Source organism: Homo sapiens, chromosome 1 (genome assembly GCF_000001405.40).
Source record: "Homo sapiens chromosome 1, GRCh38.p14 Primary Assembly".
In the NCBI taxonomy this organism is placed as follows: Eukaryota; Metazoa; Chordata; class Mammalia; order Primates; family Hominidae; genus Homo; species Homo sapiens.
In genome coordinates this window covers 182,620,542-182,636,350 of record NC_000001.11, presented here as the reverse complement: position 1 = coordinate 182,636,350, position 15,809 = coordinate 182,620,542, and the positions used below count along the sequence as shown (strand labels likewise).

At 43.5% G+C, this 15,809-nt stretch overlaps 1 annotated feature.

Moving 5' to 3' along the window:
• Nucleotides 13,474–13,533: an enhancer, noted in NCBI's record as "active region_2205". NCBI's record gives its function as "activates an Ori minimal core promoter by ATAC-STARR-seq in GM12878 lymphoblastoid cells {active_cell/tissue: GM12878}" and the evidence as "EXISTENCE:reporter gene assay evidence [ECO:0000049][PMID:35858748]".

Sequence of the window (15,809 nt, the reverse complement as noted above, 5' to 3'; positions counted from 1 at the left end):
GTGCTGGGATTACAGGCATGAGCCACTGCACCTGGCTAGTCTCTAAATCTTGCCTGGGGGACAGAGCATGTTGTGGAGCAGTTAGCAGCAGAGAGTCAATGGAGTTGGGTTGAATGTAAGTGTACTTGCAGAAAAGGAGGCCCTCTGTCAGCTAGAAACAAAACAAAATGCCTTTCATTCAGAATTGTGCTCTGCCCCAACTAGGGTATTAGCAGCCCTCCTTAGGTGCCCTATGAGCTAAATATAACAGGGATGATGCACTGGTCACATAGGCTTTTCACTGCAACCTCCAAAATGCAAGCAGATTAACTGGATATTTGAGGTGGCAGAGTTAAAAAAAAAAAAACCACAAAATCCCTGAGCCAAATCAACTGATCACGTACTTTCGACATGCTCTTATCTCATTTATCCTGAGATGACCAGAATTGTACTTTTGACTTAACTTTTGGGAAATACTGGAAACATAACTGATGTGGATGTTCTCATTCAAGGTGTAGAGTTTGTAAGTGGCTCTGGAATAGATTAAAATGGAACTCATCTTGATGACAGAATAGCTGCGTGTAGGTTTGCTGGGGGGTTTTTGTATTTATTTATTTATTTATTTTTGAGACAGAGTCTCGCTCTGTCGCCCAGGCTGGAGTGCAGTGGCACGATCTTGGCTCACTGCAACCTCCGCCTCCCAGGTTCAAGCAATTCTCCTGCCTCAGCCTCCTGAGTAGCTGGGATTACAGGCATGCGCTACCACGTCTCAAACTCCTGACCTTGTGATCCACCCGCCTCGGCCTTCCAAAGTGCTGGGATTACAGGAGTGAGCCAACGTGCCCAGCCGGTTTGCTGGATATTAAGGGAAATGGTTTTAATTGTATGTTCTAAAAATGAAATTGTCAGGATTTTCCAGTAAGTGCTTTATTAGGTCAGTTTTTACCAATAAGCAAGATTGATTGAAACCTGCAACTCCTCAGAGCCTAGATCGGCAGCATCTCCCAGGAAATAGTGAGGAGGGGGTGAGGAGCTGGGAAGGGGTTGTGGGACCGTGTGTATCATAATCACATGCAAATCACAGCAGCCTAGGAGACAGTGGCATGCTGGGTCAGGGCAATCTTCCTCTCCCGCCTCCCTGCAACATGGGGAGAAGGAGAGTTGGTTTCTGGGGGATGAATATAGAGCAAGTGCTCATAAGCAGTTTTGGCCCTCATTTTGGCCATGGCATGGTTGAAATGGGGCAGGCCCAGTGAGAACTGATCCAAGACCAGAGGGAAAATAGGCTTGCATTCCGGACTCAGGGGCTGCAGTTGCTGTGATAAAGTGACTTGCAGAAGAGAAGGGGAGCTATGGGACCCTCGCTCATCCCGCTGGCTAACGGCCCTTTGCAGGTGACTCTGTGGAGAGACTTGTTTCAGCCAAGAGGACACATCCTCATGCAGAGGGGCAGCATCTGGGCCTGCTCTGCAGCCATGGAGACAAACTTGCTCTGTCAAGGGAGCAGCTGCTGGCCACCTGCTCACCAGTCCAGGCTAAGCCCTTTTCTGAGCAGGAGTGTAGGAGCCTGATCCCTAGAATACAGGGCTGGAGGTACAGTAGTGAGCGAGCATGGTGTGTTTTTGCTAGCCTGGGCCATTAGTTTTCCAAGGTGGCCCGGGTGCCCACCCCACCTAAGGTCCCATACACAGGGAACTCTCAGCATGCTGAGGTTCCATGCATAGGGACCCCTCAGCTGTCCTTGCCTGCTGACCTTTTTGTCTCAGTAACACCTAGACCTGCTCCCACTTCCTTGCACCAGAAGCAGCATCTGTTGCAGAGCTGGACCAGCTAGCAGGAGGCCGGGCAGAGATTAGTAAGGCCAGGCCACTTTGGAGGAATTCTGGGGCTTCAGCCTACTCTCCTTTGTCCTCCACAAGGACACATGCGGTCTACCCTGTGGGCCCGATCAGAGCCAACAGTTGCCACACTGCCTCTCTAATGTTCATTCTCTCCCTTTTTACCCAGACTATAAACTCTCAGAGGGCAAGACTCAAATCTGATACCTCCTGGCCGGGACACTTATAGGATACATGATTAATACCTACATGCTGTGCGATGATGCATCAAGGTAACACGGGGCTGTCCTTCTGTGCAAAGATGATATCCTGACCCTCTATATGTAGGGCTTCAATATTAGGTCATTTTTCCAGCTATGATCCACACTCTCCCCTTATCTCCCTTAAAATCTTTAGTAAATTCCACCAGAAGAAGGCCAGGCTGAAGGAAGATCTGTGGCCTTGGGAAAGAGTGAGACTCCTGTCCCTGAGCCTGAAGGGACTCCGAAGAGGGGTTTTATAGGCCCTACCACGACGTAAATAGACACAGATCGGTGAACCCTGTAAGCCTGAGGGCAGCGAACAGCTGGTGTGCCAAGGGCATATTTGCCTGGTAATTTTAATTTTTAATTGAATGCCCATCTGCCCCATCGCTGACATCATAGTGCAGCTGCAGGTCTTGTTTTTCCTTCCTGTTTCATGCGCCTGCGGCATGGCCTTGCACTCAGGGATAATTAAATGGCTCTGTGGGTGGCCTCACCCTGGTTAGTGGATGTATGGGTTGGGGTTGGGGGCAGCCCAGGCCAGAGGGCCAGAAGTCTCCAACAAGGGAGCCTCAGGCTTTGTGTCAGTGTACCATGGGGGAGGGTGGGGCCCGACTGGGGCAGAGCCTGGGAATACCTTATTTGATGGGAGGGAGTAAGTGTCTTGGGAACAGGCTTGTCCTGAAGCCTGGAAAGATTTGCCCCTTCCATAAGAAAGCCCTCAGTCCTGGAGATTAAAGGGTTCTTGTTCCGAACCAGGGCCAGAGTTTTCCTAACCTCTGGGGCTTACCCAGCATAGGCCGAGGCACATGAAAACAGGTATACAAGTGCCCAGAACCTTCAGTAAATAGAAACTCTTGTCTCAAGCTTGTATAGTTTCCTCATTACTCTGATTTCCCCCTACATCCCCCATCTCCAATTTTTTCCTCAACTTCTGTTCTTTAGAGCAGTCCTGGATTCAAATCCTGATTCTGGTTATTTACTAGCTGTATGATTTTGAACAGTCTCATTAACTTCTCTCAGCCTCAGTTTCCTCATCTGTAAAATGGACCCAGCAACTCCACTCCTAAATATGTTAATCTCAGAAACATTTTTTATGTGAACACCAGAAAACATGTACAAGAATGCTCTTAGCAGAACTGTTAGCAATAGCAAAAGACTGGAGACCATACAAAGGGCTCTCATGAGAAGAATGAGAAGGATAAACTGTGGTACATGAGCACAGTGGAATATCATAAAGCTGTGAAATGAATGAACTCTAGGGACACTATAGTAACCATATAGATGAATCTTAGCAAAATAATATTGGAAAAAGGCAAGTTATTTTATTACAATTTAAATATAATCAAAATAAACAATATATTTTAAGATTTCCATATACATGGAATAAATCTAAAAGAGAGCAAAGAAATGATTGGGGATGGGGTTGGCTTGGGTAAGGGAAGGTGTAGCAGGATGAGCCGCAGACAAAACTTCTCAGACACCGAGTTAAAGAAGGAAGTGGTTTATTTGGCCGGGAGCATCAGGCAAGACTCCTGTCTCAAGAGCCGAGCTCCCCGAGTGAACAATTCCTGTCCCTTTTAAGGGCTCACAACTCTAAGGGGGTCCACGCAAGAGGGTCATGATCGATTGAGCAACAGAGGGTACGTGACAGGAGCTGCATGCACCGGTGGTCAGGCTGAAACAGAACAGACCAGGAAGTTTCACAATGTCTTTTCTATACAATATCTGGAATCTATAGATAACATAACCGGTTAGGTCAGGGGTCAATCTTTAACTACCAAGCTTAGGTCAGGCAGGCCCAGGCCTGGTTTCGGGTCTGGTTCCTAGGCTTCGGGCCAACTGCTTTTAGTTTTGCTTTTCTTTTTTTTTTTTTTCTGAGTATAAAACAATATAAAACAATATGAGAAGGTCTGTCTCTCTTCTCTCATTTCCTCCCTAGTAAATAGAAATTCTTTTCTCAAGCTTGTATAGTTTCCTCATCGCTCTAATTTCCCCCTACATCCCCCATCTCCAATTTTTTCCTCAACTTCTATTCTTTAGAGCTGTCCTGGTTTCAAATCCTGATTCTGGTTATTTACTAGCTGTATGATTTTGAACAGTCTCATTAACTTCTTTCAGCCTCAGTTTCCTCATCTATAAAATGGACCCAGCAACTCCACTCCTAAATATGTAAATCTCAGAAACATTTTTTATGTGAACACCAGGAAACATGTACAAGAATGCTCTTAGCAGCACTGTTAGCAATAGCAAAAGACTGGAGACCATACAAAAGGCTCTCATGAGAAGAATGAGAAGGATAAACTGTGGTACATGTGCACAGTGGAATATCATAAAGCTGTGAAATGAATGAACTCTAGGGACACTATAGTAACCATATAGATGAATCTTAGCAAAATAATATTGGAAAAAGGCAAGTTATTTTATTACAATTTAAAGATAATCAAAATAAGCAATGTATTTTACGGTTTCCATATACATGGAATAAATCTAAAAGAGAGCAAAGAAATGATTGGGGATGGGGTTGGCTTGGGTAAGGGAAGGGAGGGGAACAAGCAGATGAATAGATGTAAGTTACCATCAGTGTAATTCCTGGGTTGGGTATAGGTTCAAGGGTAATCACCAAATCAATAAAATAAATGATTGAAAGAGAGAACAAATAAATATTTAAGACCCAAGCATGCACTAATAAGTACAGCATGAAATGAATCAAAGATTATAAAGATTAATTCAATTTTGTACACTGAAGTCTATTAACAAATATGATTGCAGGGATTGTGAGATTGCATTAAATGAGATAATGTACATCATGACCTACTAATGCACTAGCTGTCATCCAGTAGGTGTTCAAAAATAAAGTTAATCTCTCTATTCTCCTAGCCAAGCAGGGACCTTATCATGCTTCCCATAATTCAGGATTCTTAGTGCTTTGATCCTTTAGGGCTGAATCCTAAATTGCCCACTAACTTCCTTCCATTTCTTCCCTCCCTTCCTCTACCCTCCTGCTCCACCCCAGAGCAAATAAATCTTCCCTGTCCTATGTTACAGAGTTGTGGGAACAGGATATATGAGAAGGCTTTGAGACTATTCAGTGCCCCCAGTACACTCTTGTTTTCCTGTGTGCCCTGCATTCCATCAGTGGATGAAAGAAGGCACAACTCTTGAGCCTAGGTAGCTTCCAGTCCTTTGTGAGGCTCACTCACAGGTGGAAAGGACACATGGCCATGCTCTTGGTGTTCAGAGGGGAGAGAGACTGTGTGATCTGTAATATTCTAGGAGGATACTGGAGAAGGTGGTCTGAGGTTGCACCTGAAATGACATCCATGGGCTTAATGGAAAGTATCTTGGATTGGAACTTGGAGCTATAAAATCTTGTAAAATCTTGAGATTCTCACTCACTGGCTGTAGGTGGGCAAGTTAATTAGCCTTACTGAGCCCTGCTTTTCTCATCTGTGTAATGCAACTTGGAATGCTTGGAATGTAAACTAAGCACACATACTCACAACCAACACAATGCTGGGCACAGAGTGGACATTCCAAAAACATTTGCTGAATCTGAACCCCATATCCTCTCCAGAACCCTAGTTTCCCTCTGGGAGATTGGCTGGTACACTCACTCCGACTGGAGTGGAAATGGCTTTATCTAGATTTGGCAGGAAAGTGTCACTTTGAGTTTCAATGCTGACAAATTGGTAGGACAGATAGGTGACATTTGTCATGGGGTTGGAAGCAGTTTCCTGATTCCCAACCATGCCTCCTGAGCCCCATATCCATGGGAGCAGAACGCTGGGAAAAGATGTGACAAGTCACACGCACAGGTGCCTCTTTTCTCAACCGTGTGCCACATGGAACCAAGGAAATAGGACAATCAGAGCAGTCCCAGGAGGGAAAAGAGATCACTGAACAGCAATTCTGGAGAGCCCTGATGGTGAGGGAAACTGGGGGAGAGGGCTGATGAGGGGCACTGGTGATTTTATAAACCATAGGCCTTTTAAAGCTTGTTAGGCTTGGCTGGAGAAAGTTACCTCTTTTTATCAAAAATGTGACTTAGCCCAGTCCAGCAGCATGATTCGGTCTGTGGGACAGACAGGAAGCCTGGAGTGAATTCTGCCATTTATTTTCAAAACAGAGATATACTGAACACCCATTATGTGCTGGCCAGGGTGCTAATTAAGCTTTTTATATACTTAAAAAAAAAATCTTCACAGTATCTAACCATTGAATGTCTCCAAATATTCATTTTCTAGGTAAGAAACAGACTTGCCACAGTTTCTTAGGTCAGATGGGGTTATCCAGAGATAAACAGTGAAAATGTGGGTGCAGAAACCAGGAGTGGGGGTGGAGGTGACTGATGGTGGTGGGTGTTGCCCGCTGCCACAGACAGGAAGTAAGGGCATCCTGTATCTTAGGTCACCCCTGCCTGTCTAACTCAGAGGCGGGGGTGGTGTCTGCGGATTTTGACCAGGGCACAGTTATGAGACTTCAGAGGGCAAGGTGGCTCTGGAGGTCCCCAGCTCAGTTAGAAATATCCCTGCCATTCATTACTGACCTTTCCACAGAGCCAATCCTGCCACACTATGTGGTAAATGGAGGGTGACTAATGTGTGCCCATCACAACAGCCACATTTGCATTTAGCTGAGACAAAAGCCTCAGTTACACCAAGTTGGGGATAACAGTTGGTGAGATTTTAAGCATCAGTCAGAATTTGGGAGAGAAGGAAGAGTTTAATCACAAGGCCCTTTGGGTGCCCTGCTCACCATGCAAGAGGAGCTGAATTTTGTCCTGGTTGAAAATGCGGCCTGTCTTCTCTCCCCTACCCTCCTTATGTTTGAAACTCTGGGATATTTGCTTGTCTTTGTGTCTTTGTGAGTAGGGAAGATATTTGGGAGCTCTTTTTTGAGATAAGGTATATGAAAGTGTTTTATAAATAGTAAAAGGTTACATAAGAGCAAGGCGATGCTTTTATTACTGCTTCCTATGGAGCCAGCTGCAGGAGAAGGCCTCTGATCTCACTCCCAATAGGAGCCTTTCTCCATTCACTGGAGCCTGACCCAGATTGGACACTCAGGAATACATCTTATGTAAGATTTGGCTAAATTGAACAAAGCCCATCTTTCCAGTCCACGTTTGGGTTGATTTATTTCAATTAAAAGTTTCTATTGAGTGTTCACAATGTACACAGGCACTGTATATAGCTAAAGATATAAAGGAGAATAATATATACATGATTCCTATCTTCAAGGAATTTACAGTTCAGTGGAGAGATTTTTAAAAGGGTGGAAATCCTTTTGTTAAAGAAAATTTTAGTTAAAACTCCAATACCTAAAATGAAAAGGGAGCTGCTTTGATTAAGGTGGAGGTAGAAGAAAGGAGAGGCAGAGAAGGTAGGAGAGGAGGAGGGAGGCCAGGGTGCTGTTGGCTGGACCTCACCATTGCCCCCAGAGGCCTTTCAAGGGTTTCTCAGAGGCCAGTTCAAGCAGCCACAATTTCCATAAGACTTCTAGAAGAAAACAGGAGAATATTGTAATGGCTTGAGGAGCGGCAAAAATTTCTTAGGACATAAAAAGCTCTAAGCATAAAAGGAAAAAAAACTGATAAATTGGTTGGGTGCAGTGGCTCACACCTGTAATCCCAGCACTTTGGGAGGCTGAGGCAGGTAGATCACCTGAGGTCAGGAGTTCAAGACTAGCCTGGCCAACATGGTGAAACCCCATCTCTATTAAAAATACAAAAACTAGCCGGGTGTGGTGGTGAGCTCTTGTAATCCCAGCTACTTGGGAGGCTGAGGCAGGAGAATTGCTTAAACCCGGGAGGCGGAGATTGCAGTGAGCCAAGATCACGCCACTGTACTCCAACCTGGGTGACAGAGCGAACTCCATCAAAAGCAAAAACAAACAAACAAACAAAAACTGATAAATTATACTACCTCAAAAATGAAAATTTCCACTTATCATGTAATACTGTTAAAATAAATAGGGAAGCCAGATTGGGAGAAGATATTTGCAATATATGTATCTGACAATAGACGTGTGTCAAGAATATGTAAAGAATTCCTACAACTCAATAGAAAACAAACAAAATACAATTTTCAAATTAATCAAAAGACTTAAACACACACTTCACAAAATAATATACATGAATGCCAATAAACCAAATCAAAACCTGGTGAACACCATCACTTGTTAGGAGAATGCAAATCAGATAATTTGCCAAAAGTTTGCTTTGTAAACAGTGGTGCCAGAATTGGAAACAGCCTGTGCCCTTCTCTGTTCCATGGATCTCCAAGTACATTTTCCTATTTTAGTTATACAATGTTTTTCATATCCCTTCTCTGCCTCCAAATTATTTTTATCTACAGTACTAAAGCCATGAGGAGACAGCTAGATTTCCATAGATGTCAATGGTTATGTAATTCTTCACTTACGGCCCTGGAGGCCTCTTTTCTAAGTTCACAAATGACATATTAATATTTCTCTTTGCTAGGGAGTAATCTCCCAGTGAGCTGCAGTTACTGCCCTCTGTAAATATGAAACACACATTACTATTAGTGTATTACCATAATGGTTCTCTCCTGCCCATAAACAGCCGCACATGTGAAATATAAATGGCAACCAAAAAGAGTGCTAAGGGGCCCCTGCTCAGAGCTGTAAGAGGGTCTTCCAGGGACTAGGGACCATTAGGAAAAATAATGCCAAAAACCACAGTGAAGTTCTACTATGTATCCACTAGAATATGTAAAATGAAAATCCAGCTAACAAAAGGGGGTTGGTAAGGCTGTAGCATGACTGCAATTCTTATATAGTGCTGGTGTAAATGTAAAATGGTACAAAGCACTTTATAAGGCAGCTTGATAGTTTCTTATAAATCTAAATATATACCTTCCGTATGGCCCAGCTACTCCACTCACAGGTCTAAAAACATATGTCCACAAAAAGACATATCTGCAAATGTTCATCACAGCTTTATTCACAATAGGCAAAAACTTGAAACAACACAAGCAAGCAAGACAATGAATAAGAAATTGTGGAATTCTACTCAGCAATGGAAAAAGACGCACTACTGATAAATGCACCAACTCAGATGAATCTCAATAACATGCAGCGTGCAAGAAGCCAGATGCAGAAAGACTGCATTCTGTATCAAAGTCTAGAACAGGCAAACTAATCTATGTTTTAAAAACATCAGGAAAGTAGATGCCTGGTTGGGGACAGGGTGGCAGTGGGAAATCGGAAGAGGGTACAAGGGAACTATCTGGGATGATGGGAATGTTCCATGTATCAATATTGAGGTAGGTTACATGAATGAATGCATTTGTCAGAACTTCCTGAATTAAAACTGTTAAGATCCCAGCATTTTGCTTTCTGTAAATTACATCTCAATATGAAATGTTAGGCAATGACATTCTGGAAAATAAAACTGTAGATGGTAAAAAGATCACTGATTGCCAGAGGCTTTGGAGGGTGGAATAGACAGAGCACAGAGGATTTTTAGGGCAGAGAGATGACTCTGTGTGATACTGTGATGTGGATGCATGTCATTATACATTGTCCAAACTTGTAGAACACAGGGCACCAAGAGTGAACTCTAACGTAAACTATGGACTCTGGGTGATAAGGATGTGCCAATGCAGCTTTCTCTGTTGTAACAAATGTACCCCTCTGCTGGGGGATACTGATAGTGAGGGAGGCTGTGCATGTATAGAGGCTAGGAATCTATGGGAATCTCTGTACCTTCTCCTCAATTTTGCTGTGAACCTAAAACTGCTCTAAAAAATAAAGCCTAACTTTAAAACATATTAGGCAAATAAATCACTAGATTCCTATTTCAAGAAGGCAGAGTTGAGTCCTTTCTGTACCCTTCTTTCTTAAAAACAATGGGCAAACAATTAGAATAAGAAACAGCAAAATAAACTTTAGCTTGTGAAACTAGAATAACATCTGTAACCCACATGAAGACAGACAGCAGAGGGAGGAATGACAAATGACTCACCAGAGAGGATGGAAGCCAAACCTGATCCCAGAGGGTGAGCAGGGAAGGGTGGGGTGGGGGTTAACTGACAAGGGGCAAGTTCTTCGCCTCAAGAGTCCCTGAAAGGCTCAGGTACTAGAGGAATCAGCAGGAAGGTGGGCAAGAGGGATGCTGATGGAAGCAGGACTGTTTCAGAGCCTGCTGAGAAGGGTTCACTTTACCCTTCCCTCCACTTCCCTAAGATACCATCTGTATAAACCCACAGATTCCTTCTCCTTTTCCTTTTCTGTAAACCTGAACCCTTCTAAAGGCTTTAGGTCTGGGAAATCCAAAGCCAGGAAGATCTGCAGGCTACTTTTGTTTTTCTACTCTGTACAATACTTGCCTGACAAAATAAGGTGCAGAGTCAGCTATTTGCTTGAATGAAGGGAAATAGGAAATTTTAGGTAGAAAACACACACAGACACAGACAGACACACACATACATTAATATTGCCAAATATCATCTAGCTACTTATACAGAAATATTTTATGGCTTGTTTATTATCCATTTTTTAGTATTATACCTTATGCAGTATTTCCACCTTAAATAAATCTGGGGGGTAGAGCAGACACAATTATTCCCTACCATAGTGCAGATAAGGGGAATTGAGGCACACAAAGGTTATATGACTTGTCTAAGGTCAAACAACATGTTGCTGTCTAACCAGAACAACAGTCCTGGACTCTGGGCTCCAAGATCAGTATTTCAGCATTCAATGATGAGTGCTTATTGCTCTTCAAAAATATGGGCAGACAGACAAAAAAGAAGAGAGAGAATATACTATATGATTCCATTTATATACAACTCTAAAAAATGCAAACTAATCCATAGTGACAGAAAGCAGATCAGTGGTTGCCTGGGGCTAGGAGGGTGGGGAGGAGGGGAGCAGGGATTACACAGAGGCATGAGAGACTTTCGGGATAGTGGATGCGCCCACTCTTTTGATTGTGATGATTTCACTAGGTGTTTGCCTATGTCAAAACTTGTCAAGTTGTCCACTTCAACCATGTTAACTGTATGTTGATTATCCCTCACTAAAGCTATTTTAAAAAATATGGGCATAAATGACTCACTTGCTGGGCCTCCCTGCAATAATCATTTCCACCTTTTTAACATTTACAGAACATCCAAATACATGCTAGACATATAGAGGGGATATATGCAGAGGGGTACAATATCCCCCTGCCTTCATGGGGAAAATGCTTAAAAGAGAGGGTTTCAAACAGGGAAGTAAAGAGAACAAACATTTACCGAACATCAAACATATTATCTTTTTCAATCTTCACTAAACTCTACATGACGGATATTATCATCATATCCATTTTCCTGGTAAGGAAATTCTCAAGCCAGTAATAGCTGGGGTTTGAGGGAGCCAGTAACTAACACCTCTGCTTTTCACTCACTTCCTGAGTTCAGAACCCTTTGACACAGGAGTCAGATACCTGATGATGAAAACGTCAGCTTTATTACAGAAAAAGCTGGTTTTGAGGGCTTGGCTAAGAGCCACATGCTGCCAAATGGGTGTGCTAACAGATTCTCCTGAATTGAACTTAATTCTCAAACTGCAGACTTCCTCTCAGGCTCCACTAAACTTACCATAGAGTAGGAATTGTGGGTCTCCTGGGGACAGGCCACTCCTGAAGAGAAGTGAGTATGTCTGGTTCCTTTTTCTAAACTCACCAAGCAATGAGTTGCTACTTCTATGGGTAGGGCTTACTAGATTTAGGGGGAAAGTTGGGGAGAGAAGTCACAATTATAACTTTAGGGCAACCCCTTCTCATGAAAACATAGGAATCAAAAAGAAGTGTTGCCCTGAAAGGTTAAGTGGGATTCAGACCCAGATTCATGTTCTAAAGCAGTTATTACATCCATGGTTTTCATTCTAAAAATTTTGTGCAAACTAATTTATGTGCACCGAGTCCTAAATTAAATGGACTACAGGACATTGGATTTGAAGGAACACAGTGGTGAACTTTTTGCTAATGGGTGACTTTTTATATTCTTTCATTCATTTAAATAGTTTTTGTGCACCTATCCTGCAATAGGCCCTGAGCCCATCACTAGGCAGGCCAGGATAAATGTCCTGGCCTCTCCCTGTCCTCAGGGAGCTGGAGGACTCATCAGCCATCTCCAAGTTTCAGCTCTGGCCTCAGCTTTCTTTTTCAGCATATCTTCTGTTGACTGATTCCTTTTGTGCCTGCTATAACCAACAAACAGGATTTCTCCTTGAGGCCTCAACACATAACACCCCACTCCCTTTCTCATCCCTTGACTTTACTTATACTGTTTCCTATACCTGGAATCCAATTCAGTTAAGCAAACATTTTTGAGCATCTGCTGTGTTAGAGCTGTGAGAGGTAGAGCTACAAAAAGGAATAATATCTAGCTACAGTATCCTGTAAAGCTTGGCCTTTAAATGTTTAAATCCTATCCATCCTTCAAGGTCCACTTCCTCCATGAAGTCTTCTTAGGTTCCTCAATCAGCTGTAATCACTGGTATTTGCCTCAATTGTAGCTTTGAATGATGCTTTCACCTGCTGACCGAGGACTCCTCAGCCACCTGTACCTAAGGGAGCACAATGGGAATACCCCATAGTTCCATGACTCACCTCTATAGCCGCGTCCCTGAAAAATCGAGTCTTTCATTCCCATGCCTAAAATGTTGCTGCCCAGCATACAATGGGCAGGAAAGGACACAATCAATGGATGGCAAAGACCACCACTTACTTGGCCTCTCCCTATACCTTGCTTGGCTACCTCCCCCCGAGTTCACCTTTGCCTCAGTGGCAAAGGAAGACCCTCCTGTTGCCATGGCTACTGGTCCTCTCCCCATACCACTCTCCTGACCTCCCACCACATCCCCTGCACTTCAAGCTTGAATGCGCCTCAGCTGCAGATGCTCTCACCTCCCCCTCCAGTCCAGGACCTCAGCCTTTCCGGTCCTTCCTTTCATTCCTTCCCACAGTCCTAACCCTTCGCTAGGAAGCCAGAGCTGCTCTGTCCTGGGCCCAGAGCCAGGTTATATTTTGATGCAACCCTAGGGACTCTTTGGGGTTTTTTTCCAGGTTTAGACTTATCGAACATCTTGCCAGACCAGGGAATATAGTCAGATTTCTTTTTCTGCTGCCTATACAGGAAGGAGAAGTGGGGGAGTCCCCTTCTATTATTAGAGAAATTTTGGTTTGCAACAGAAATTCAACTCAAACCAGCATGAATAAAAGGGAGTTTTGGTGAGAATACTGGAACACCCCATGGAATCTGTGAGCAGAAACAGTGAGCAGAACCCTAAGGAATGCAGAAGCCCTGACTTTCCTCCTCTTTTCAGTTTCTCTCTGCGTACTACCTTTCTCTTTTCTTGCTGACTGTTCTCTGTTTACCAGTTCACATGGCAAAAAATGGTCAATAGTTCCCACATTTACATCATCAGTCTTAACACAAAGATATGGCCAGGTGTGGTGGCTCACGCCTGTAATCCCAGCACTTTGGGAGGCCGAGGCGGGCGGATCACGAGGTCAGGAGTTCGAGACCAGCCTGGTCAACATGATGAAACCCCGTCTCTACTAAAAATACAAAAAAATTAGCCGGGCATGGTGGCGGACGCCTGTAGTCCCAGCTACTTGGGAGGCTGAGGCAGGAGAATCGCTTGAACCCAGGAGGTGGAGGTTGCAGTGAGCCGAGATCGCACCATTGCACTCCAGCCTGGGGGACAAGAGCCAGACTCTGTCTCAAAAAAAAAAAAAAAAAAAAAAAAAAAAAAAAAAAAAGACACTGAGAGGGAAACCAATCTATCCTTCATCCTGGGGTCCAAAATTCCCAGGTAAGAGACGGATTGGCCCAGGTTAATTTGAATGTGCTCAATCTGGTCAAGGAGGCAAGATCACATTATCAGAGCACAGCATTTCTGCTGCAACCACATGGACACAAGAAGGGAAGGGAAACTTTCTACAGAGGGGTACTGGGGCCAAAATCCAAAAGGTGTCTCCCAGACCCTCTCATGGAGCAAATTTTAACAGCCACCTCTCTAGGAAACTGGTCCCCCTCATTCTACATCTAGCCACCTAGGCGATATTGCTGATAATATGCTATTTACAGTTGTATCTTTTGCACCACTCCCCACCCCTCCTTAATCTCCTGGAGGACAGGGGCATGCTTAGGGTTGTTTGTGCCCTCCAGTGCTTATCCAGTGCCTGCACTCAGCAGGTTCATCTCATGTCTGCTGAGAGAACATGATGTTTACATGTACCAAGAATTGTTCTGGGCCCTTGACACATTAACACATAATCCTTGAAATAACCCTATGAGGTAGGAACATGTGAGGAGGGCGAGGAGGGTATGTAACTTGTCCAAAATCACAGTTAGTCAGTGTCATAGCCAGGATTCAAACCCAGGTGGTCTGGCACTCTGCTCTTAGTTCCTGGCCAGTAGACTTCACCACCTCTCCATCTGTGTTTGGTGAGTTTCTAGCTTAATCCTCAGGTTTTCTCAAGAGAGCCAAATCTGTAGATGCACACAGGCAGCGGTGTTTCTGGATAAGAAGGGAAAGTAGGAGTCAGGAGGTACTTGGCTCTTCCAAGATGGAACTGGCTACTCTCTCTTTCATGCCCATACCTTATCTGTGCACAGGTAGCACCTGGAACTTTTTCCTTCACCGATTTGTTTATGTGTCTGTTTTACATACATGACCAGTAGTGTTTGTTTTTAAAATTTATTTAATATAGTCTTATTTTAAATAAAAGTATTGCTGGGCAACTGGTTTTAAGTTGTATATGTAGAAGAAAATAATAAAATTAACTATCTCTTATTCATCTCCCCTCTGCTCCACCTCCCTTTCTCCAGTGAAAACCATTTTCAATGTTAAGGTATTCATCTGGTACTTCCCCTATATTTCTAACTCACAGAGTATGTGGCTGTCTCTTGAGTCATTAATTTCAGACATTAGTTATAGACTTCCTATTATGGTAATGAAGATATTAAAATCATGTACATTTTCCTCTTTTCTGCTAGCTCCCTAGTCCCCCAATTTCTGGTTAACAAAGCTTTTGTTATTGTGATTGTATAAATATTGTTTGCTATTAAGCCAAGTAATATATCTTATTTACCTGTACATTCTTGCATATTGTTTTTCTTTTTTCCTGGAGTTAGTAATTGCCTCTAATTTTTATTTGTTTAGTTTTCTATCAGCACCTGACTAAGCCCTCCCATGTGCTCCCACAGCTCTGTGAAACATGGCTCAATAACATTTCCACATTGTCAAGTCTATCAGATTTTTTTTTTTTTTTTTTTTTTTTTTTTTTGCCTCTGAGACATCTTTCCTGGAGCTCTTTGATGTCTTATTCAGGGTTGGCTGCTCTCATGGCCCACTGTTGTCCTACCCTTCCTTCCTTTGCCTACTTCCTGAGAACTCCTTCTACTTTCCTCTTATCTCTCGAGTTCTGTCTTCCACTCCATCCTTTCCTGTTTTATGGACTTACATATTTTCTAGTGTAGCTTTCTGAGGGTACATGGGAGATAATGTTTTTGAGACTTTTCTGACTGAAAATCTTCATTCTCTGCTCACTCTTGAGGTGGGTGACATAGAATTCCAGGTTGAAAATAATTTTCACCAGGCGTGGTGGCATTCACCTGTAATCCCAGCTACTCAGGAGGCTGAGGCAGGAGAACCACTTGAACCTGAGAGGCAAGGGTTGCAGTGAGCTGAGATCGTGCCACTGCACTCCAGCTTGGGTGACAGATCAAGA